At 46.2% G+C, this 23,812-nt stretch overlaps 2 protein-coding genes and 1 non-coding gene across 5 annotated transcripts in view; 1 reads left to right on the top strand and 2 right to left on the bottom strand.

Moving 5' to 3' along the window:
- On the bottom strand, nucleotides 202–8,472 carry MAGED2 (MAGE family member D2). 3 transcript variants are annotated; one of them, NM_177433.3, is made up of 13 exons: nucleotides 8,415–8,472; nucleotides 6,841–6,914; nucleotides 6,004–6,495; nucleotides 5,088–5,396; nucleotides 4,904–4,967; nucleotides 4,564–4,643; nucleotides 3,966–4,060; nucleotides 3,193–3,272; nucleotides 3,057–3,099; nucleotides 2,667–2,729; nucleotides 1,442–1,556; nucleotides 527–969; nucleotides 202–336 (listed from the first exon to the last, which is right to left on the bottom strand). In NM_177433.3, the coding sequence occupies exons 2-12, from the start codon at nucleotides 6,883–6,885 to the stop codon at nucleotides 535–537; spliced, it is 1,821 nt and encodes a 606-aa protein (NP_803182.1). In that variant the 5' UTR covers nucleotides 6,886–6,914; nucleotides 8,415–8,472; the 3' UTR covers nucleotides 202–336; nucleotides 527–534. The 3 variants fall into 3 exon arrangements, with proteins under 3 accessions (NP_803182.1, NP_055414.2, NP_957516.1); NM_014599.6 differs by lacking the exon at nucleotides 8,415–8,472 and adding an exon at nucleotides 7,784–7,871; NM_201222.3 differs by lacking the exon at nucleotides 8,415–8,472 and adding an exon at nucleotides 6,994–7,136.
- Nucleotides 1,717–1,847, bottom strand: SNORA11 (small nucleolar RNA, H/ACA box 11). Its single transcript, NR_002953.1, has one exon. It is a non-coding gene; the product is annotated as a small nucleolar RNA, H/ACA box 11 (small nucleolar RNA).
- Nucleotides 17,962–23,812, top strand: part of ITIH6 (inter-alpha-trypsin inhibitor heavy chain family member 6) — a 49,338-nt gene continuing 43,487 nt past the window's right edge. The window contains exons 1-2 of the mRNA NM_198510.3: nucleotides 17,962–18,108; nucleotides 19,121–19,275. Of these exons, the coding sequence (NP_940912.1) occupies nucleotides 18,007–18,108; nucleotides 19,121–19,275 (257 nt within the window). The 5' untranslated portion in view covers nucleotides 17,962–18,006. The remainder of the gene's footprint in view (nucleotides 18,109–19,120; nucleotides 19,276–23,812) is intronic.

The following is a 23,812-nucleotide window of genomic DNA, read 5'->3' as shown; positions in this document are numbered from 1 at the left end:
AAGGTGTGTTAATCTCGCTCCTGGGAATCCAACAATTAGACGTGAGGCCCAATCTATCCCAGAAAGGTGTGTTAATCTCGCTCCTGGGAATCCAACAATATCACCTCAAACTAAACACAGACTGAGGTGGAAACTTTCCCAACTCACTGATTTTTAAATGTGATACCAAAATGTGACAGCCCGCCAAAAAAAGCAATAAACTCAGAAATGGCAAATAGATTTAATGCAGAGTGTCAACTTCAATTGATTGATAGTGGCTGCCTAGAGTGCTGTGTTGAGTAGGTTTCTGAGGATGCACCCTGGCTTGAAGAGAAAGACTGGCAGGATTAACAATATCTGAAAACACAAGTAAGAGAAAATAAAAGGGTCAATTGACATCCAGCAAACAGAAAGGAATAAAATGCCAAAAGCAGTGTCTTGGCACACTCTCCACATCATTCTCCAACTTGGGCCTTCCTAGAATCATCCAGCTCCTCATCCCAGCCCCATAAGCCCCAGATGTCCCCACTGAAACCAAGGCAGATACCTAAAATCTCACTTGTAGGAGAAACCACAGGCACCAGAGCTGCCACTGGTGCTGGCACCAGCTCCACCAAGGCCAGCGAAGAGCCCAAATGTGAGAGTGGCGGTCAGGCTGGCACCAGCACTGAAGCCACCACTGGTGCTGGCACTGGCACTGGCACTGTTATTGGTACTGGTACTGGCACCAGTGCTGGCACTGCCACTCTCTTGGGCTTTGGCTTTAGCTTCTGCTCCCGCCTGGATCCGGGCTTTGGCCCAGGGTCCGATATCAGCTTCGTCCCAGTTGCAGGGCCCGGCAGCATTCTCCGAGCCGAGCCCAATGCCCATTCGAGCTCTAATCTCGGCCCTAGCCTTGGCTTCAGCTGCAGCCTCAGCTGCAGCCTTCAAATCCGCTTCCATCGCCTCTCGGTACTGAGCTGCCCATTCCTTGGGATCCTTCTTTTGTACCTGAAACAAAAATAACCATCAGAAGGAGCATAGAGGGATTAAGCCATAGTAATAATACAGTATTACTATGTAAATAACCATCAGAAGGAGCATAAGAGGATTAAGCATCTACCTTTATGCTAGGCACTATGCTACATGCTTAGTATAAAAAGATAATAGTAATAATACAGTATTACCAGTAATTATGCACCTAATATTCCATCCCTGCTCTGACACTTCCTAGCCCCATGACTTTGGACATGTCACCTACCAACCTTTCTGGGCCTCGGTTTTCTCATCTGTAACAGGGCAATGACATATCAGGTTGTAAGGCTTAAATGATTCAGATAAAGTGCCTGTTACAGTGTTTTGACAATTAACAGAAGCACCAAAACATTCAGATTTGAACTGCAGGCTGCTCTGCACACAGCCTGCCCCAGCCAGGGGCACCCCATGCTCTTGACTTGCCAAGCTCAAGGAGCTCTCCAATTACCTTGCAGGCAAACTTGAGGACTTTCATCTTGCTGGTCTCATAGTAAGAGCGCAGGCCCCAGAAGAACTCATATTCAGGGGGATTGCTATTGGGGACTCTGGCATAGTCCAGGTACCTTGGAAAGAGAGGTTCAAAGCCTTTATTTCTAAGACCATTCATGGCCTACCCATGCATAGACTGGACAGGCTCCAGATGGCAACATCATCCACTAATTACTACAGTCTTTCTTCCAATATTGAGCCCTGTCCCACTGGTCTTGCCCAGAAGCCACATAGAGGTGTTGGGGGACGTTTGTTCATAGGGAAGCCACAAGTTTGACGCCCTCATCACAATGACCCCAGATTCCTGTTGGGTGTGTTGTAAACAGAGGAGCCATTCTTTGGGCCCCCTGCTCTGAGCACACCCCACTGCAAGTGTCTTGGCCTCAGCCTGGCCAAGCCCAGAAAGGTCCACCACAGAAAATGACCAGAAAGACTACAGAGGAAGAACAGCCAATAGCAGCATGCTTCACACATGCTGAATTCCTGACCCTTTGTGTGTGTTTCTGTGTGCACATGCGTGTGGCTGTGTGAGTGTTTGCATGTCCTCCAAGGACCAAGGATAGGTGAGCTTTGGCCAGAAATTCAAGAGGACTGGGCTCCAGGCCCATACCAGCTGTGGGCCATGCTCAGATCTCCCTTCTCGGAGCCCCAGGTCCCTCAACTGTAAAACGGGGATGGGATGACAGCTGCAGGGTAGTTATGAAAATGAAATGAGATGTACAAGTCAACTCCCCAGCATGGTACCTGGTTGCCTGAAGCTACCATTCTATGTCATTTCTTTACGGAAATTAATTTCTATGAAGCTCTAGTTAGCAGAATAAAAAGAACTAAGGCTTTGGAGCCAAGTTCTAAACATAACTCTTCTACTTGCTACCTGTGTAACCCTGACCAAATGACTTCACCTCTCTAAACCTCAGTTTCTGCATACGTACAATGATGGTAATGATAATCCCTCCCTTGCAGAACTGGTCTCAAGACAAATGTTGAGGTATATGTAACAGATCAGGAAACATGTGCTGCTCCTGTTTCCCATCACCGCCCAAGGAATAATCCCACCTGCATACATGCAAATATGCAAATACATACACACATAGACACATGCATCCATGCACCACGGCTTTATCACTCAGTTCTGAAATAGGCCAAATGCATGGGACACATGAACACCAGACAGAGATACTTACTTCTGCTTCACAAACTCATCAGTGATGAGCTTCTTCACGTCCCCAAAGAGTGAATGATGTATCCTGAGAGAAGAAAAAGAAAAATAAATAAACAAATAAATTCACTCAAGGCTATGGCACTTCCCAGATGTGGGCAGAGGCATTTCCAAGATGGAAAAGAGGTTTCCAGCACAAGAGGGAAGCTCCATAGAAGCCCAAGAGACACTGAGAGAGGGAGCAGAGAGTTCAGGACCATTCACCCATCATCCACCCAGGTCAGAACCCTGGGCCCTCTACCCAGTCCAGCACCCCACCCGCTCCACCAGACCACCAGACTGATGCAATCCTAGGACCGTCCTCTCTTGCCAAAGGACAACACGGACAGCAAGCGCTGAGAGAGCCCAATCATACCCAGGGCGCAGCCCCAACTTGCGCAGCACCTCCCAGATGACAGCTGCGAGGGGAGGCAAGAGGAGACAGGGACAGAAATTGAACACATGGAATCTAGACCACAGCCACCCATTCAGCTGCAAGCCCAGCCACTCACCCTCACTGGACCGATTTCCATTCATGAAGATGATGCTAAGAAGCACCATGAGCAGACCCAGCTTGGGTGAGTCCTTAGTCCTAGAGAAATAACAGGACAGAGAGGTTTATGTTCAGCAGCCATCTGCAACAGACACACCAGCCAACTCACTAGGCTAGCCTCTCCCAGATTCCTCAGATACAGAATTCTACCCAGTCTCTGCTTCCAGCTCTATGCCACCCTTGGCAAGGCACTTAGACTTGCAAGCCTCAGTCTACTCTTCAGTAAAATAGAAAAAATCATATTTTCCCTTCCCTGGGTTTCCAAGAAGATGGAAGAATGGCTGCCAACCTGGTACAACACAAGCACTCAGTCAATGTGAGTCCCTTCTTTCTGTCCCAGAACCTTCAGCCCCACTGACACTCCTGCGCTTCATGCATCCTGATCCACCCACACCAGGAAGCCCTCCTTGAGAACCACTCTGCCAAAGCCAGGCCAGGCACCCAGTAGGAAGAGGCAAGCAACGACAGGCCTGCTTTCCTGGGAAGCTTCTACAGAGACAGCAAACCTGACAGCAGGAATGTCCCACTCCAGGCTCCTACACCCTCCAGTCAATCATAATCAGGTGCCACCACTGTAAGCAGGGCTCCAACTATGCATAGGAACTGGGACGGGGCTTTTGAGACCCTGTCTTTCCTGACTCTCTAAGAGGATGGGGGAAGTAGGACAAAGGAGGAGTAGCAGCACATGGCCAAAGCAGAAGCCCCCCACACCTCAGCCCTTTCCCAGCTTACGTTCCCAGTATGCCTGCATCAGTGGGCTCTAAGGTGCTGAGAAGAATGTACAAGTGGTCATTCTTATCAATTTCCTTCAATTGAATCCCAAATACCTGTGGATGGGGAGAACAGCTTGTGAGATGACAAAATTCAGCTTCCGGGGCATGCTGCAGCTCCCTATGTACCTAGGAGTTTCGCATGTGTGAGAAATCAGTGAGATAATACGCACAAAGTACATAGCTAAGTGCCTGGCACCCGGTAAACACGCTGCAAATGTACTATTGTCATCATCATCTTTGTGGTGAGTGGGACTCTAGGGAGACAGAGAATGGGGAATGAAAGGGAGAGGTGAAATCTCAAATACATGGCAGGAGCTGCCATGGACGGACAGAAGCCAGGATTAAGTTGGGTGTCTTGGGTCCTAGCTGCACTTTTACCATTGACTTGCTGTGTGACCCATCGCTAATCTACACCCCTCCCTAGGCCACTGTCTGCCCCTCAGCATAGCGATGGAGCTGGATTAGCAGGTCTCTTTGGTTCCCGAGAAGGGACTTGTACATTTTTGTTCAATTCAAGGCTTCCCCACTGTGCCCATCCCCCAGGGCTGCCCCTTCACCTTCTCCAAGGAATAGCCTGCTCGTTCAATGATTTCGGGGTACACATCAGTGTATTCTTTGATGATGTCCTTCAGCATGTCTGCAAGGGGAGAGTGTTGTGAGCACCTGACTGAAGAGATGCCAGGTGGCCCTGATGCCCAAGCTATAGACTCTTTGCCAACCACACCAAGGGTGGCATAACCCGGTTCTGTGCTTATCAACAGAGATGCTAGCACTGCCAAATCAGAACTTTGGGAGGACAGAGACATAAGCATAAGAGCAGGGGATATCCCCAGCACAATGGTGTAAGGGCAATGGAGGGCAGAGCTCAGGGCAGAGGGAGGATTGGTAGGACTTTACCCGAGCGCTTGATGGGAATCTTCGTCTGGTCTTTAGCCAAAAGGTACTTCACCAAATCATTTGCCTGGCAGAGTAGAAAAAGATGGAAAGACCAAAACAAGTTTGCAGAAAACTTGAGACGATGGCAAAGAAAAGGACAGCCAAGGCAGTAGAAAAGGCAGAATAAAAACGACAGAGTTCTTACCCTCCCTTGCAAAAGGGCCACATCCCGAGGTGGTGGTGCTTCAGGCTCTTGGGATGACTGGAGCTTGGCAGCTCTACGGCGAGCCTTGCCCCTACGGGCTTTAGGTGATCTCAGGGAGAGCAAGGCTCTCCGGGCCCAAGCAGCCAACCGAGTCCTTGATGCCCTGCGGGCCCAAAAGGCTATGGGACCCCTTGAAGCCCTGCGGGCCATTGAGGCCATTAGGGCCTTTGAGACCCTTCGGCCACCTGTGGTTCCAGAAGCCTGACTCTGATCACTGCTGCCATCCTCTTCCCCATCCAGATGCTTCACCTGCATCAACAGAGAGGAAGCTCAACGTCACCAGATGAAGCAAGTGGTCCTTTTCCTCTCCCTATCTCTTCCAGGAAGCACCCGCTAATCCCACCCCTGTAGTAACAGCCTGACTCAATAGATGTTGGCCATGCTGAACCCTGGATTTGTTTCTCACTGACTTCCAAGCAGGTGTTTCATCTGCCTAGCAGGCCAGGAGCAAACCAAGGGTGGGTGGAGGCTGAGTCTTCTTCTCTTTCTGTGCCCACTACTGGCTCTGCTTGAACCATCCTAGACAAGCCGCTTCACCTCTCTGGAACTCAGCTTCCTTCTCCATAAAATTGGGGCTATGAGAATTACTTTCAAGATTTAATGAGATAACCTGCATAAATGTGCTTAGCTCAAGGCCTAATACAGGGCAGCTACTATGTAAACATAAACTGCATTACATTCAGATTGCACCTCCCCATCAGTCTGCAAGCTCTCTGAAGACAGGAATTACATCACATTACTCTCAGTGCCCCCCACAGCCCTGATGAGCACAGGGATCTTTCTAAATGTTTGTAGAACAAATGAATCAACTGAGAGAGGAGTAGAAAACCAAGGGTGGTGACTGCAGAGGTCTTACCTTTCGGGCTTTCTTGGCTTTGACCTTGGGCCGAGTATCCTGATTCTCCTGAGACTGGGCAGCTGCACTCTCAGGCTCAGGTTCATCTGCTGGGGCCTGAGAGGGTGCAGCCTCAGTCTCCTGAGCCTTTGTATTGACCTTTGTATCAGCCACATGGCTGACCTTTTTGGTCTCAGTGGCAGGCATTGTCACAGCCTGCGGGTCAGCATTCTGTTTCTTGGTGTCAGCTGCTAGACTCTTGTTTTCAGCTGCCAGAACCTGGGTATCAGTCAGCTGAGTAGTAGATGAGGCCTGGGTGGCAGGTGCCTCCCGAGCCTCTGGGGTCTTTGAGACCTCTGTGGCCTTTGAGACCCCAGAGGCTTTTGAGACCTTCACATCCTCTGAGACCTCCAGTGCCTTTGAGGCCTTCGGTGTCTCTGGGACCTCCACATTCTGGGTCACTGTCAACAGAGTCTGCATCATCGAGCTACTGTCCTTTTCTGAAGCTTCAGCCTGCAAGAGGAAGCAGGGAAGTTCATAGACCTTCTCCTCACCCCCAACTAAGCAAATGGCTCCAAAATTCCAAGGCCACACTTCTCTGACCTGTACTGACTCCTACCTGCGGTGTGCTCTGACCACCTCAGCCCAACAAGGCCTCCCTTTCCTCTGAGCAAGAACTGATGGCAGAAGAGGGGCCCGCCCACCTTCTCTCCCTCCCTCCACTGGGCAGGGGGACACCCAGGCAGGAAAGTAGGTGGAGAAGGACAAGGATGGGAGGGGAAGAGCCAAGGGACTTGGGGGCAGCAACAAGGGCTGGAGAGGAAAAGCAGCTGGGGAAAGGACAGAAAGAGGCCTTACCTGGAAGCGAGTTAGACCTGCACCACTCTCGCTTGTGTCAGACATGTCTCAATTTGGCCTGGCAAGAGCTGAGCCTGAAGGGGAGAAGGCCTGGGTCAAGTTGAAGCCCACTGAACGTCCTCTCCCCTGTTGTGCCTGGAGGCTGATCCTCACCTTCCGTAGGTCCCCAATTCCAACCCCCTCCACCACCCCCAACGACTCCGTTCTCAGATACAGGAATTCAAAGCTTCTAAGTCTCAATTCTCTGCAGCCGCACCCTCCCCTTCTCCAGGAAGATGTGCCAGCGCGGCAGCTCTGAGGACCCCGCCCCTTTTCCCAGTGCACCCCCCACCCAGCCGCAGGTCGATAGAGCGCATGCGCGTCGGCTGCAGGGCCGCTCTCAGCCCCGCCCGCTTTCCCAGCACGAGCCCTTTCTTTGATGTCCACCGTGCACATGCGCATTCAGCAGCTGGCTCTTCTCAGTGCTGGCCCTTCTCAACACGCCCCTTTCTAGCGAAACATAGTGCGCATGCGCAATGGTCGTGGTCTCAGTCTGGCACTCTGCCCCAACACACGCCCCTCTCCAGGTCCGCAGTACCATTCGGTCCCGCCCCCTGCCCAACAAGCCTTCCTCCAAAATTGTCGCAGTGTCTGGTGGACCCGGCCCCTCCCCTACTCACGCCCTACAGAGTCCAGTGTCTCTTGGCCCCGCCCTTCTTCCTAACACGCCCCCCTCCAAACAGGCGCATCTTGGTTCCGCCCCTTCCCTATTACACCCCCTCCTCAAATAAATACTGAGCTAGTGATTCCATCTTGGGCCCGGCCAAACCGGGTCCAGTCCCCTCCCTTCCCAGCCGGATGGATCCGGTACGATCCGGTCCTTAAGGCAGGTTTTCTCCAGATCCCAGAGGGTGGGGCCGACCCCTAGCGGGGCTCTCATCCAAAAGCCGACCCGGCTGCTCACCTCGTCCTCCTACAATTCCCGAGTGCGTCCACTCACTCCAAGCCCCTCCGAAACTCGGAGACTGCCCTCCCCTCTCTAGGCCGGAAGTGGTCCCGCCCCTTTCCGCCTCCCTAGGGGGCCTCCGTCCCAGCCTGTCTGCCCCTCCCCCGCTCCCTGCTCCTCATTCCTTATGCCCCCCTCCGTATTCCCTTAGCCTGGCTCCCTACTCCCTATTCCTACCTCACATTTCCTATTTACTCCAGAATTCCTTCTTCCCATTTCTTACATCCTCCTCCGTGTTACGTTTGCACACCCTGCCCCTCAGTATTCCTTAATCCCTCTCTGCATCCCCGATTCTCTTCTCTGGATCTTCACTCCCCCTCAGTGTTCCCCTCCCTCCTTGTATTCCTCGTCCCCCTCCCAACATTCCTGGTTCCCCGTTTTTCTCCCCTCCTCCCTCCGCTAGTCTCTGCTCCCAGTCTGTACAGCCTACTACTTTCTCAGTCGTCCTCATTGCCTACACCCCACTCCAGGTCACCTCTGCTTCAGCTGCAGTGGTGCAGTAAGAATTGCTCATCTGCCTGGCTATGGGTTCGAGGGGTCTGGAACCACTGTCTGACCTCCATAAAACCCCAATATCAACGCCCCTCACCTTGTCCTCCAGCGAGTTCGGGATGCGTCTGCCTTCTCTAAGTCCCTCTCGAAGTCTCAGCCTCCTGGACTAGAGCTGCAGACAGCCCAACCCAGCCCAGCCCCTTTCCGCAGCCCCCTGCCACCCCCCCTCGCCTTCCTCGGGGGTGGGGCAATGGGGCCCCGCTCAGGGCTGTCTGACGCCAAAGCCCATGTTTATGCCACTGTACCAGGCTCAGTCTGAAGCTCTTCCAACTCAAACCGCCCCCTGAAAGCAAGTCATTCATTGAATTTATTTTTATATCTTCATTTTTTCTTATTACAAAGGTAATATGTTGTTCTTTTGTTGTTGTTGTAAAAATTCAAACAATGCAGTAATATATAACACACCAATGAAAGGCCACTCATCTCCCAGAAATAACCACTATTAACATTTTGCTATCCAGATTTTTTTTCTATTCGTATACTAATTATTCAGGTTCTCTCTCCGACAAATGGTACACTATACATACCTTCTGTTCTGCGACCTGTTTTTTTCCAGTTATATATAAAACATCTTTCCGTTAGTGCACATTTTTCTAAACAGCTGCATGATCTTTTCTTGCATAGATGTCCCATAATTTATTGAACCAGTCCAGTACACATGTACATTTAGATTGCTTGGTGCACTTTTTGTTATTTATGGTATTTTTTGCTAGCTCAAATGCTACAAAAAAGTCTTCCATTTTGATGCAAAATTTGTCAACTTACTCCTAAAAAGTAAATGGATAACATTCCCGCCAGCAATGTCTCTCCTGTACATGTCACATATTACAAATATTTTTCATGTTATTTATGATAATTTTTGCCAAACAAAAATGTTTAATTATTATGTAGTCAAATATATCCATTTTTCCTTCATCACAACTGGATTCTGCTGCTTGCTTAAAGATGCTTTTCACACTCCTATAACAAACCCCGTTTTTTTTTTCAAGCACTTTTGTGGCTTTATTATTTACATTTAGATGTTTGATCATTTCAAAATTTATTTTCTATACGGATTCAGCTTGATTACTCTTCAAAATCATAGTCTCTTACCTCTACATCATGTGCAAACTAATCCATCTTTTCCCTCTCTGCTTTGAAATGGCACCTCTATCACATAATAAATTCACATAACCAATTGGATCTGTTCAAGAGAACAAAATAAGATGTAAAATAATAGGAAATAGACAAATCATCATTAATTACTGAATATATAAATGCAGACCTGGAAAACCCAAGAGCATCAACTAAAAAGTTATTAGAAACCATAATAAAATTCAGCACAACTGTTAGTTGCAGAAATAATATTCAGTGCCTTTCCACATATAAATGTAATTCAAATGGACACAAGTCTTCTGCTTTATGTGGTCACCTTTTACTATGTAAATAACATATAATGAATCCCTGTGTTCCATGGATAATTCAAGATAGACAAACACACAAATTTCTTGCATATTCAAGGCAGGCTTCTGTTTTCCTGTCTTTTCTCTTTCTCTGAATTATTGCTTTCTCCAAGTGTGTGATATCAGTTCACCATGTTCTTGCCTCCTAGATTTTCTCCCTTATCCACACTAGACATAGCCCCTCCTTTTCTTCTACTTCTGGCATCTCAAATTCCCCACCCCTTCCAAATCATGGCAAGTTGGCAAGTTTAGAATGCCAAGATGAGGACTTTGGTGTTGATCCTGAGAGCACCCAGGAGTTACTAAAGAATTCTAGGCAAGGATACAGCATAGGTTTGTGTTTTAGAAAGAACACCTAGCTGCTATATGGAGTGTGGATTAGGTGTTGTCTTGGAAACAGGGAGAGTGCTTATGACTTTTGTAGTCATCTAGGTAAGCAATGATTGTGCTTTGGCCTAGAGTGGTGGCAGATAGTGAGAAGTGATTGAATCGAGGAGATAGTAAAGAAGTAAAAAGTAACTGGACTTGAGTAACTGGATTGTGAAGAGAAGGGCAAGGAGGAGGGGAGTGTCAAAGGGAACTCTTGGCGATCTGATTTGAGAGATTGTGTGAATGGTAACCCCTTTCACTGAGATCAGGAATACTGAAGGAAGAGCGGGTTTGAGGAGCAGGTTAGACAAGAACTGAACATTGCTTTTGAGGCACCTGTGGCATGTCCAGGTGGAAATGTACCACAGGCAGTTGAATATACATATCTGAAGCTCAGAGAAGTGGTCTAGGCTGAGGTTATAGATCTAGGAGTCATCAGTACATAAATAGTTCTTGAATTCCTGAGAAAGGGTAACAGCACCCCGGTGAATGCGTAGTGCTAGAAGAGACATGGGCCCACGGAAGAGCCCTGCAGTCCAACAGCATCTTTGGTATAGGTGGAGGAAAAGAAACTCATGAAAGAGGCTGATAAGGAGTGACCAAAGAGGCAGAGAGAAAAACAGGAGAGGGCCGGGCATGGTGGCTCACACCTGTAATCCCAGCACTTTGGGAGGCTGAGGTGGGCAGATCACCTGAGGTCAGGAGTTCAGGACCAGCCTGGTCAACACGGTGAAACCCCATCTCTACTAAAAATACAAAAATTTAGCTGGGTGTGGTGGACCACACCTGTAGTCTCAGCTACTCGGGAAGCTGAGGCAGGAGAATCGCTTGAACCTGGGAGATAGAGGTTACAGTGAGCCGAGATTGTGCCGCTGCACTCCAGCCTGGGTGATAGAGTGAGACACCATCAAAAAAAACAAACAAACAAACACAAAAAAAAAAACCGGAGAAAGGAGTGTCACAAAAGTAAGGGAAGAGATTGTTTCAAAAGGAGGGAGGAGTCAAGGTCAATAGTGATGAATGGTGCCAAGAATCAAGAAAAGTAAGACCTGAAAAAATGTCTGGGGATTTTGACGATCAAGTGGTGGTCTCTGGTGACCTTGGAAGGAATAGTTTCAGTGCACATGTTTGTGGCATAGCTTGCTAATTGCTTACCCTAGTATTCATCCTCCTCTTCTTCCTTAGTAATAAGTCACCTGATTTTTAGCTAGATACATAGCCTCCCAGAATAAAGGCCATGAGGACTAGGGTCACACTCTAAGGATACTGGATTAGTAAACTAAAAAGAACCTGGATCCGTAACAATTTCATGAAGCCAACGTGAACTGCCTACCTCTGGATTTCTTTTAGGTGAGGCAAATAGATGTATGTCTTATTTAAGCTATTGTTATTTCAGAGTCTATTCCATGCAACAGTTTCCTGATTGCAGTGAGTTGAGATATGAATAGCAGGTGAGGTATACATGACAATGGGTATGGAATGCTTTCCCAAGAAACGCCTGAGCTTGATTTCAAGGCTCTCCCAAAATCCAGCCCTGACTGCTTTTCCAGCCCTTTTCCTGCTGTTTTTCTGAGAGTACTAGATATAGTTGCCTATATTCCACCTAAACAGAACACTTCACTATTACCAGATATGCCCTGCCTTCTCTTGCCTAGGAGCCTTTGTTATGCAATTTTGTCCCCATGGGGAACACCCTCTGCTACAACTACCCTTCTGGTATATCTATGCTCGGTTACAACCTCCAACATTTTAAGTTTCACAATGTTTTAGGTCCCAGTTGTGGTCTTTGGGATCCTGGGGTAATTTAAAGGAATACAGAGTCAGAACGTTAGGAGATATTATTGGATTCAGGAAGTCAGAAGAAATCTCAGTCCAAATCCATCAGAGAGGCATTCCCAAAGATTGTCAAACCCAAACTTCCCCAGACCCCTCTCAATTCCACCACCTTCATAACATAATACCATTAACAACCTTATCTTATGACCTGGGGATCAGAGGATAGGAGGCAGCCTTATCGGGGGAGAAAAGACAAATTAGTTCATAATCTTTACCCTTTGACCAGAGAGATTTCCTCCCACCTTCTCCTTGTGAACTCTTGGAATCTTGATCTTCAGCATTCACCCATAAACTCTGAAGAACCTAGGTCACTGGGTCTCAGGCCCATTTCTAGCACCCATAAATCAGTAGAGAAATATCTGAGACCATATAGATCCTACATATCAACTAAGAGGAAAGATGAAAAGCCGTTATCATCAGGCAGCTCTGTTCTGGAGATAAGGAAAGGCAGGCTAAGGATTGCTTAGTGCAGAATGTAGAGATGGAACTGTCTAGTCCCACAGGCATCCAAGACTCCAGACTCCTGAAGCTCAAATGGAAAGCCCAGAATATCCCCACCACCAATCCTATCCTAGCACATTTACTTTCTCCTAAACTATACAGAATCCGTATCTCTGAATTTTGGAAAATTTGGGAGAGGGTAGCAAAGGTTTCCTTTTAAGGCTGCCTGTCATTTCTTTAGTCATTTAAACCATGCAGCTCAGCATAGAAATCAACTTTAAATTGGACATCAGACTTTCTTGTTCTTCAGATTTCCATAACCATTCCCACCACTGGGAAAGGCCTAATAATTGTTCCTTCTCCTAGGCCCCATGCCCCACCCCTGTTGGACCCTTTCTGTCCCCCAACATGCTGGCAACTTCTCTCCTTTCCATTTCCAGGCTTCTATATCCTCTCTCTCTCTCTCTCTCTCTCTCTCTCTCTGTCTTCCCCCCACCTCCCCCAGGGTCTCACTCCGTCACTCTGGTTGAAGTGCAGTGGTGTGATCCCAGCTCACTGCAACCTCCACCTCCTGGGCTCAAGCGATCCTCCCACCTCAGCCTCCAGAAGTAGCTGGGACTACAGGCACATGCCAACACGCCCTACTAATTTTTGGGGTTTTGTTTGTTTGTTTGTATTTTTGGTAGAGATGGGGTTTCACCATGTTGCCCAGGCTGGTCCAAAATTCTTGGACTCAAGCGATTCACCCGCCTCAGCCTCCCAAATTGTTGGGATTACAGGCATGAGCCACCGTACCTGGCCTATGTCTTCTTTCTTGAGCTGCTGGTGAAATCTCATTTTTTCCCCTTTTATATGTAGGGCAATTTAGTTAACTTTGTTTCACTCTAAGCCCTAAGGGTTACCTTTCCACAGCAAAAATGACATTTTGTCAAACAAAAGACAAATTTCCCATAGATGAGGAAACCTGCTACCCACTTTTGGACTAACCCTCATTCTCCCCTGTTCTCTGTATATTGAGTCCTTCCTCAGCACAAGCTTGTGAGCTATGATTAGGCCATTCAACAGAAAATGAGCACCAACTATGTATTAGACACCTCTCCAGAGGTGGCCCTTGCTCTTAAGGGGTTTATTTTTATACTGTGTGAACATTAGCCTCATTTCACAGATGGCAATATTAAAAGTGAGAGGGGTAACTTGCCCAAGGCAAGGCGACCAATGAGTGGCACAGAGAGGACTTGAACCCGAGTCAGTGGAATATCAAATACCAAAGACTTAACCACTACACTATACTTTGTCCAATGATTTAAGTCCCAGAATATCCTTTCCAACAGTCTTCACAGACATATGCTAGGCACATTACAGTATGTTTTTCATCTATAGAGGCACGTCTAACTGGATATCCATATGCCCATTTAGATATTGTCATAAGCATCATAGGAAATATAATTATTTCATTGTTTTGAGATCAACATGCAGTTTTTAACATTTGATTTTTATGAATTTCATGCTTGTACATGACAACAAATGAAATAGTACAGAAGATCATATGATAAAAATGAATAGTCCCCTGCCTCAACCCTCCCCATCTCCCTCCCACCCCCTCAAAGCCAACTTTTAACAGTTTTTAGTTTTAGCTCTACTGTTGGTTCCCTTTACAACTCTAGATAATATGTATGTAATGTTTCTTTTTTAAAAAAAATTAGACAATATCCTATTGACTCCCAGAGATGGCAGTAAGGATTTTGTTTATGTACTGTGCCTCACTTTTCCCTCTACTCCCCTGCAATGGTTAACACTGATGTTCCTTTTTTGTTTTTGGTTAATTTTATAACTTGAAAAAAATATACTCAGACCTCTATTTTGTATTCCATCCATTTTGACAGATAATTTGACTCCCCATTTTTTAAGACAAGGATATTATGGCTACAACCCTCCCCCTGCCCATTCAATGTCCCACATTGTCAGTTTTATCTTTCCTTTTACATTGCCCTGGTTATTAACATTTACATTCTGTTCTGCAGCCACAATCAGATCTTCCCTGCTTTGTCTCCCCAGGTTGACTCTATGACCTGAAACCCAATAAACAGCATTCACATTATCATGGCTATGTAAATATTTTTCAAAATCTAGCCAAGCAGTGAGCCTGGAATACGCTTCCTTCTCTTCAAGTTCAATGTCACAATCTTTGGGCCTCTCAGAGGAGAATGTTTCTAGCATCAAGGTCAAATGGAATCTTTCTTATACTCTTATCAGCTGCTCATAATCATATTACATTTTATTTTGCTTTGTATTTGGCCAAGACTTTCTTGAATAATTACACACACACACACACACACACACACACACACACAGAGTTTCTAAAAGCCTTTCTTTTTTCCTTGAATTATATGCTTTTATTGTATTCACTCATTCAACAAGTATTTTTTGAGTGTCTACTACGTGTCAGGTACTGTTCTAGGAGATTAGGCTAGGCAGTGAAGAAGACAGATAGCAATCCTTGGCCCCCATGGAGCTGATTCTAGTAAGGGAGAGAGAAAAGATAATAAGATAAATCAGTAAAATGTATCCAAATTAAAATGTGTGATAAGTGCTATGGAGAAAAATTTCAGTTTTAAATAGGCTTGTCATAACAATGTGTTGTATATTTCAAAATAGCTAGAAAAGATAAGTTGAAATTTTCCCAACACATAGAAATGATAAATACTCAAGGCAATGGATACCATAAATACCCTGACTTGATTATTACACATTCTATGCATGTAACAAAATATCAGTGTATCCCATAAATTTATACAAATATTATGTATCAATAACAAAAAAGTTAAAAAATAAGTAAATAGGTTGGTCAGGGAAACACTCACTGAAAAGGTAGCATGTGGGCAAAGACTAGCATAAGGTGAGAGAACTAGTCAAGTGGATACTTGGTGAGAAAACATTCCAAGCAGAAAGAACAGTCATTGCAAAGGCCATGGGACAGGATCATGCCTGGCATTTTTTCCCCATGCCTGGCACTTTTGAAGAACACAATGGCCAGAGTTGCTAGAGTGATGGAGGAAGGCAGGAAGGGAAGTAATAGGAAATGGGGTCAGATGGGTAATGAGGGCTTGCCTCACTGACCCCTCTCACATAGGGCCATGTAAGCCACAAGCAGGATCCACAGGAGAGTTTTGAGCAAAAAGGGGACAGGATCTGACTTGGGTTTCAAAAGGATCCCTCTGGTTGTTGTAAAAATATACTGGTGGGAGGCAGAAAAGGGGATGATGAAGGCTGAAGCAGGAGGACCAGTAAGGAGGCTGCTGCAGTTATTGCTTGAATTGGATTCACTGTTTCCTGGCTTCACTGTTTCCTGGATTCACTGTTCTGGGCACCTGTCTGGAGATCCTTCTTCAGGTGTAGGAAATTATTATAACTTCTAATATATCTATTTTTTTGAGACAGGGTCTCACTCTGTCTCCCAAGCTGGAGTACAGTGGCACAATCATGGCTCGCTGTAACCTCGAACTCCTGGGCTCAAGCAATCCTCCCGCCTCTGCTTCCCAAGTAGCTGGGATTTACAGATGAGAGCCATCACGACTGGCTATTTCTTTTTACTTTTTTTTGTAGAGTCAGGGTCTCACTATGTTAGCCAGGCTGATCTCAAACTCCTGGCCTCAAGCGATCCTCCCGCCTCAACCCCCCAAAGTGCTGGGATTACAGATGTGAGCCACCACATCTGGCCTAATATGTTTTCAATAAAGTTTCCTTCATTGTTTTGTTTTCTCTATCTAGAACTCCTATTATTTGAATGTCTAATTTGCTAGATTAATCCATCTCTCTTAAATTTTCTCTCACATTTTCTGTTGCCTTGGCTTTTTTGCCCTACATTCTGGAAGATTTCCTCATTTCCTGGTCCTGGAAAATGTATTATTTCAGTAACATATTTTTAATTTCTAAGGAATCTCTGTTTTCTCTGATTGTTCCTGTTTTATGGCATCTAGTTCTTGTTTTATGCATGTTATATCTTCTTGAATCTTATTCAGAATAGTATCAATTTTTCCCCTGAAGTTCTCTTTTGTTTCCCAGATCCTCAAATTGCTCTAGGGTCAGTTGTTCTATTTGTTTCTTTTAGTATTTTGCTTTCATGCTACAGGCTTCCTTAATTTGCTTGAGGCTCCTTGGCTACTCATTCATATTTAAGAGAAAAGGACTGGGTAGCCGATGGGAGTTTTCTCTGTTGCTGTATAAGCAGAGCTGTTCTCTAGCTAGGACTCTCCCTCGTGAGGAAATCCTGAGAGGAAACTTGGTGCGGACTTGTGCGAGGTGGCAACTGACAGGTTTTGGGACCCACAGATGCCAGAATGAGAAGACTTTGTTGGGATGCCAAATGCCCTAGGACAAATCTGAGTGTTCCTGGGGCAGTTTGTAAAATGTCATCAGAGATTTTGCCCCTGAGAGTAAGTACTGGAGCTGTCTATGCTCCCTGTGTGGATGGGTAGAGGCCGGAGGGCCAGGGTCGGCAGGATTCTGACTGAGGCTGATAGTCCTTGTGCAGACCTTCAAGTACTTTCCTTTTTCTCAGCCCCATTCCTCACCCCCACCCTCCACAGGACCTGCAGATCCTGAGTCCAGAGCACCTCAGCTCCTCCCTTCTCCCTCCACTCAGGTCTCAGAGGACAGGGAGCTTTCCAGACTTTTGATCTCTGTCATGCCTCATCCTGCCCTCCTCCTAGCAGCTATTTACTGATCACTTACCATGTGCCAAGCATTCTAAAAGTACAAACTCACTTAATCTTCATAAGAACTTTATGAAGTAGGTGCTATTACTATTCTTATTTTATAGATGAAGAAACTGAGGCTACAGAGAGGTTAATTAACTTGCTCAGTATTATACAGTCAGTAAGTGGCAGAACTGAGATTCAAACCCATGTGGTCTGGGTCTGGAGCCTGTATTTTGAAACCACTGTGTTATATTCTTTCTCAGTCCTGCCCCAGCCTGTCTTGGCCTCTGGCTATTCTAGAGATTGTAAGTCTTATTATGTCTATGGGACCCCTAAATTGTTATAGGATCCTGAGTAAGTCCCTCCCGGCACTAGGCTAAAGTCAATAATACCAGGGAAGACCAGTATTGGGGGCTTGCCTTGCCAATCCCTCTCTCATCGCCACTACCTTTTTAAGATGATCAGTGCTAAGTGACCTTTCTCTGGCCCCAGTTACTGGGCTCCTGTGGATGTTTATAGGAAAGAAAAACCCCACCCTGAGCCAACACAGCAAACAGACAGACCCAGCACTCTGGTATGTTTAGTTTCCATTCATCTTACAGCTGGATGAGGGGAAAAAAGGAAGCGTAGAACTGGCCCTTCTCCAGGCAAGATGCCAGCCCCAGCTCTTGGACAATCCTGGCTTGTGTGAGCCTCAATGCCACATTCAGAGCCTTCCCCACCCTTCAGGATGGTCCCTCCCTCTCAAGAGAAGGGATACCTGGAGGTTTAAAAGAGCAAGGGTTTGGAGATCGGGCTCAGATCTTCTGGATGTGAACAACAGATCCAGGCCAGAGGTGGCATCATGTCTGGGTGGAGGTACCTCATCTGTGTCAGCTTTTTGCTGACCATTCTTCTTGAACTGACATACCAGGGACCCCCTGTCCCCGCTTCATCAAGCACAAAGGTCAGTTCTGGGATGAGGGAAAAAAGCTTGGGGATTTGTGATAAAATTAGCTTCTTGGGGGAAATTTGGGAAGGTTATTCAGTGTGTTTCTTCAGTCCTATGACTGAGAAACTAGAGCCAGAGAAAAGAGGTACTATTTGCTGAGCACATGTCAGGTGCTGCACCAGGGGTCCCAGAATTATTATTTCATTTAGTCCTCACAGCATCTCTGTGAGCTGGGCTATATTATTATCCCCATTATAGAGAAGAGAAAACAGAGGTTCCAAGGTTAAGACACAGTTAGGAAGTGGCAGAACCGTCTGATCTCAAATCATCCTCATTTCCCACTGCCCCACACTGGGAAGGAACTAGCTCTGCATCACGTGTGGGTAGATAGAGGGACCATTGCCTCAAGAAAGGAGAGGAAGAAGATAGATATTGTACTTGCTGTGTGCCCTCATCATGGATGCCAGATACTTACCATGCTTGCAGTGCATGATTGTGCTTATAAGTGCAACTCTTTACACCTGAGATCCTAAAGAAGAAAAAAATCAGTATTTATCACAGTGCCTTGGACAGAGTAGGATTCAATGAATGGCGGATGCTCTGCTATATTCTAAAGCCTTGCTACTCAAAGTGAAATCTGTGGACTAGCAGCAGCATCATTCCATGGGAGCTTTTTAGAAAGATAAAATCTCAGCCTTCACCCTAGTCTTGCTGAATCAGAATCTTCATTTTAACAAGCTTTCCAGGAGATTCATGTGCACATCAAAGTTAGAGAAGTGCTTGTCCAGAGAGGTCCCTTGATCTCTAATCTTCTGTGAGTCTTGGGTTCTGAGACTTGATAAAGCTTGCTGAAGTAATCAGGCAGATCCACCAAATGGATGACAGAGGTTGTTTTCCCTCTCTAGGCCTTAGTTTATCCACCTGTATACTTTGAGGCCTGTGTAGGAATCTTGGGTTCCCAAAGACTAGCCCATCTAGGCTGAGGACATAGTCTACCTAAAACACCTCCTCCTGTCTTCTCTCTCAGTTGTTAATGACAAGCTATTCTATGCGCTCCACGGTGGTGTCTCGCTATGCCCACACCTTGGTCACCTCTGTCCTGTTTAATCCACATGCTGAAGCCCATGAAGCCATCTTTGACCTGGATCTGCCTCATCTTGCCTTTATCTCCAATTTCACTATGTAAGTCTGCTTCCAAAGTCACCACTTCATTCATTTGTGCATATATTTGTTCGTTCTTGTGCTTATTCTGTCAGCAGAGCATAGTGATTAAGACAATGCACTCTGAGATCAGACTTCTTGAGTCTGAATCCTGGCTCTGCCAGTTTGGGACCCAGGGCAAGTTACTTCATTTCTGGGAGTCTCATTTTACATATCTACAAAATGGGGATAAAATTAGAACCCACTTTCTTTTTTTCTTTCTTTCTTTTTTTTTTTTTTGACATGGAGTCTCGCTCTGTTGCCCAGGCTGGAGTGCAGTGGCACAATCTCAGCTCACTGCAACATCCACCTCCCAGGTTCAAGCGATTCTCCTACTTCAGCCTCCCAAGTAGCTGGGACTACAGGCGCATGCCACCACACCCGGCTAATTTTTTGTACTTTTAGTAGAGACGGGGTTTCACCGTGTTAGCCAGGATGGTCTCAATCTCTGACCTCGTGATCTGCCCACCTCGGCCTCCCAAAGTGCTGGGATTACAGGCATGAGCCACCACACCCGGCCAGAACTCACTTTCAAGGATTAAATGAACTAATATACATGGAAACATATGCTAAAATTAGCTCCAGGCACATATTAAGTAGTTGATAATATTAGCTTTATTGCTTTTTAAACAAACATTTCCTGGTGCTGAGTGTGTGACTTACACTGTGCTGAGTCCAACAGAAAGAGGAAGGTGAACTGCATATAGTCCCTAGCCTCAGAGAGTTCACAATTTAAGGGGGGATATAAAAAAGGAAACTGGCCCAGCACAGTGACTCACACCTGTAATCCCAGAGCTTCATGAGGCTGAAGTGGGAGGATTGCTTGAGGCCAGGAGATCAAGACTAGCCTGGGCAATATAGGGAGAACCCATCTTTAGAAAAAAAATAAAAATTAGCAGGGTGTGGTGGTGCATGCCTATAGTCTCAGCTACTCAGAAGGCTGAGGCAGGAGGATTGCTTGAACATGGGAAGTTGAGGCTGCACTGTGCTATGATCTCTGCACTCCAGCCTGGGTGACAGAGTGAGACTGTCTCTAAAAAAGAGCATTGGGTTGGGGAGCAGTGAGCAGATTACTTTAATAAAGTATGCTGGGGAAAACTGAAGTCTGAATGTGGAATGGTTGGAATGGTGAGGTGGACCAGAAGACAATGGTGGGTTTCCTATTCCCAGGCTGGTGGAGAAAACCTCAGAGAGATAACACCTAAACTGAGGCTTGAAATAGGACATCTTCACCAGGCAACCAGGGTGAGGGCAGGACTGGAGGAATCCAGGAAAAAGGAATAAAGGCACAAATGTTCCCTTAATTAGGGGAACTGCAAGTACTTCTGTGTCACTGTACTGTCAGGGACAGACAAGAGGTAGAAGAGTGGTAGAAGAGTGAGATGTGAGAGGCAGAGAAAGACTAGGCTGTGGAGGACTTTCAATGTTAGAGCACCTCCTTGGGTCTCACTTAATGGTCTCCAAACCATCTTATGTGTTTGCACACCTATCAGGAAAAACTTGATCCTATACTCTCAAAACATATATACTTATTCATTTATGCATTATATAAATATACTGCTGAGCAAATATATTAGGTACATTATGAAGCATATAAATATTAATCCCTAAAGGATAAGGAAAAAGCCCTAAAATAGAGTATGAATATTATTTTTCCACTCCCTTTCGATTTGTCTCCAGCATCCCCTGGGACATGTGCACCCCTCTTTAGAAATAAGTGTGGGCCATAATAAGGAGACATGGCAAGGTGTTAAGCAAGGAGAGGTGATTGTGAAGTGGTAGCAGACTGGAGGGGCCGGCTAGGTGGCCAGGAGCTGAGTAGGCAAACAGGGGCAGAATCCACGTAGGAGTTGCTGAAGGTGGGAGCAGGACAGTGGTGGTGGATCTGAGAGACTATCGAAAGAGAAACAACCTGACTGTAGTGGAGAGTAAGTAAATATAGATGGTGTTTACCTTTTTTCGGCTTGTTAGACCTGGTAGATGACAGTACCCTGTTGAGGTGATAAACAAGGGAGCTGGAGCAGATAAAGGGAAAGCTTAGTGGGGCCTCAGTAGCCAGTATCACACTTTAGTGTGAATTACAAAAAGGCCCCTGGATTTGGGTAGAGGGACTATCAGATTTACCAGATAAGTGAGCCCAGCACAAGCAGAATATCCACCCTTGTTCAGCCCCGCTTGTCCCTGTTAGTTGGGAGGAGGTTCTTGTGCCATCAATAATCTGTACAACCTCAAACAGCAGCCCTGGGGTGGGCCTAGGCTGTGCCATCAAGAACCTCCTGGCACTTCCCCTGGAGAAGGATTGGGTTAGAGGAGGGGATTGGTATGGAGTCAGAGCCAGGGAATTTGGGGGAGAAGTGCTGAGGCAGTCAAGGAGGGCTCCCTGAAAGCAGGATTTCCATATGGGTAAGATTTGAAGGGACCAAGATCATTGCATGTTGGGACCCAGGGGAATCAAGGACCAAAAAGAGCAGGCGTGGGTTTGGACTATGGGGGGCTAACCAGAGAAGCTGGCAGTCAAATGATGTAAGGGCCAAGTAGTCAGGCAGAATTTGGATTTTTGCTTCAGTTGAAAAAAACACCAACAGATTTTTTTAAAAAAAATTAAGCAAAGCAGGCTGGAGGAAATGTTCTTGGGCAGACTCTGTGGAAAGTATGCTGGCTGGAGGCAGCACACACACAGAGGCCCCAGTGTCCTGCTGCCAGACCAGCTCCACCCTACCCCCCTCACCCCCCAGGAGACCTTGGGGAGGTGCCAACTCGGCCCACCCCCACACTAGCCCAGCCACAGCAATACTCTGTTTCAACTGCCTAGAAACACTTCTTCCCTGAGTGGTCTCTTCTGCCACCAGCCTATCTTCCCCCAGTGCTCCTGGAAGCTGCTGCCTTGGTCAAGCAACTTCCTGATACCTGTGCCTCAGTTACTCCACTTGTAAAATGGAAACTGTTGTACTTGCGTCCTACAGAGTTGCACTAACTTTCTCTAGGACACCCAACTATCACTCCTCAAAGGCCAGCTCTGATCCATCCTTCCCCTTTTCAAGATTTGTCCAAGACTCTCCATTCTCCACGGCAAAAAGTCTTTGCTGCTGTATGAGCTCATTGAGTCTTGTGTTCAAAGCCCCCTATTCTCTAGGCCCACTCAACCACCCCAACTTTCTCTCCATACCTCCCTTCCCTGCCCCTCCACTCCAGTCAAATTTAACTACTTGCTGTCCCCTGAAACACATTCTGTGTTTTCCTGCTGTCTGTCCAGGATGTCCACTCCACAAATAATTGTTGAGCACCTCCTCTGTGCCAAGCCATATTCCAGACACCAGGGGTACAGCAGCAAATAAAGTGGTAAGAAGTCAGTCAGATTGTGGATGTCTTCTAAAGATGGAGCTGAAAATCCCTGATGGATTGGATGTGGATTGTGAAACAAAGAGGAGAATCCAACATGACTCTAAGATTTTTAGCTGAGCAACTATGTCCTGAAACAAAGATACCAGAGGAGGAGCAGATTTGGGAGGGGAGAGTTGTCAGGAGCTCAGTTTTGGATCTGTTCAGCTTGAGGTGTCTATGGAACATCCTAGTGGAGATGTCAAGTAAGAAATTGGTTTTTTGTTCCTGTGACAGTTTACTGAGAATGATGATTTCCAATTTCATCCATGTCCCTACAAAGGACATGAACTCATCATTTTTATGGCTGCATAGTATTCCATGATGTATATGTGCCACCATATGTAACTAACCTGCACATTGTGCACATGTACCCTAAAACTTAAAGTATAATAATAATAAAATTTAAAAAAAAAGAAATTGGATGGGTCTGAAGTTCAGGGCACAAGTCCACACTGGAGATACATATTTGGGAGGCATCTGTATATAAATGGTATTTAAGGCCATGGTGCTAAATGACATCACCTAGAGAGCCAATGTAGAAAGAATAGAGGACAGAAGGGGAGAGGGAGGGAGGGGAGAGGATAAAAGGTTGACAACAGAGCCTTGGAGTGTTCCAAAGATTTAGAGGTTAGGAAGAGAAAGAGCCAACAGAGGAAACTGAGAAGGCATGGCCAGTGAGGATTATTTATCCATATCCTCCCTGTCTTTCAGGCTTAGCTTCAAGACTACCTTCTCTAGGACCCTTTCCTGAAGACTTGGGCAAAAGTGTTCTCTCCCTTCTTTGAGCTTCTTTTCACTTTATTACCTTCCTTAGAGAAATGGGGAGAATGGGGGTAAGCAAGTCTGCTTGTAACTCATCAGTCTCTGAGCTCCCTGAGGACAAGGCCTCCTCCCTAGTCAGGCCCAGAAGACTTTGCAACAATTTGCACACTTCTTTCACAATTTTTACCACTTTTACCACCCACAGTATTTACTTAATATATTTTTATATTAATATGGCCATATTATTTACCCAATATATTTTTTCAATAGATATACTTTCTGAGATGATCTGAGTTAGTTTTATTCTGAGCAACAATATCTATGAGATCATGGGTTTAATGTGCTAGTTGTAATTTAAGAAACATTACTGTAAATA

This window comes from Homo sapiens, chromosome X (assembly GCF_000001405.40).
Source record: "Homo sapiens chromosome X, GRCh38.p14 Primary Assembly".
NCBI lineage: Eukaryota > Metazoa > Chordata > Mammalia > Primates > Hominidae > Homo > Homo sapiens.
The sequence above is the reverse complement of the archived record's forward strand: the minus strand, read 5'-3'. Positions and strand labels throughout refer to the sequence as shown.

Coding starts and splice junctions, on each gene's coding strand:
- MAGED2 (NM_177433.3), bottom strand. CDS start 6,885: ATGTCTGACACAAGCGAGAGTGGTGCAGGTCTAACTCGCTTCCAG. Junction 4,968..5,087: donor TGGCCCTTTTGCAAGGGAGG/GTAAGAACTCTG, acceptor CTACTCTGCCAG/GCAAATGATTTGGTGAAGTA. Junction 4,644..4,903: donor GATTCCCATCAAGCGCTCGG/GTAAAGTCCTAC, acceptor CTCCCCTTGCAG/ACATGCTGAAGGACATCATC.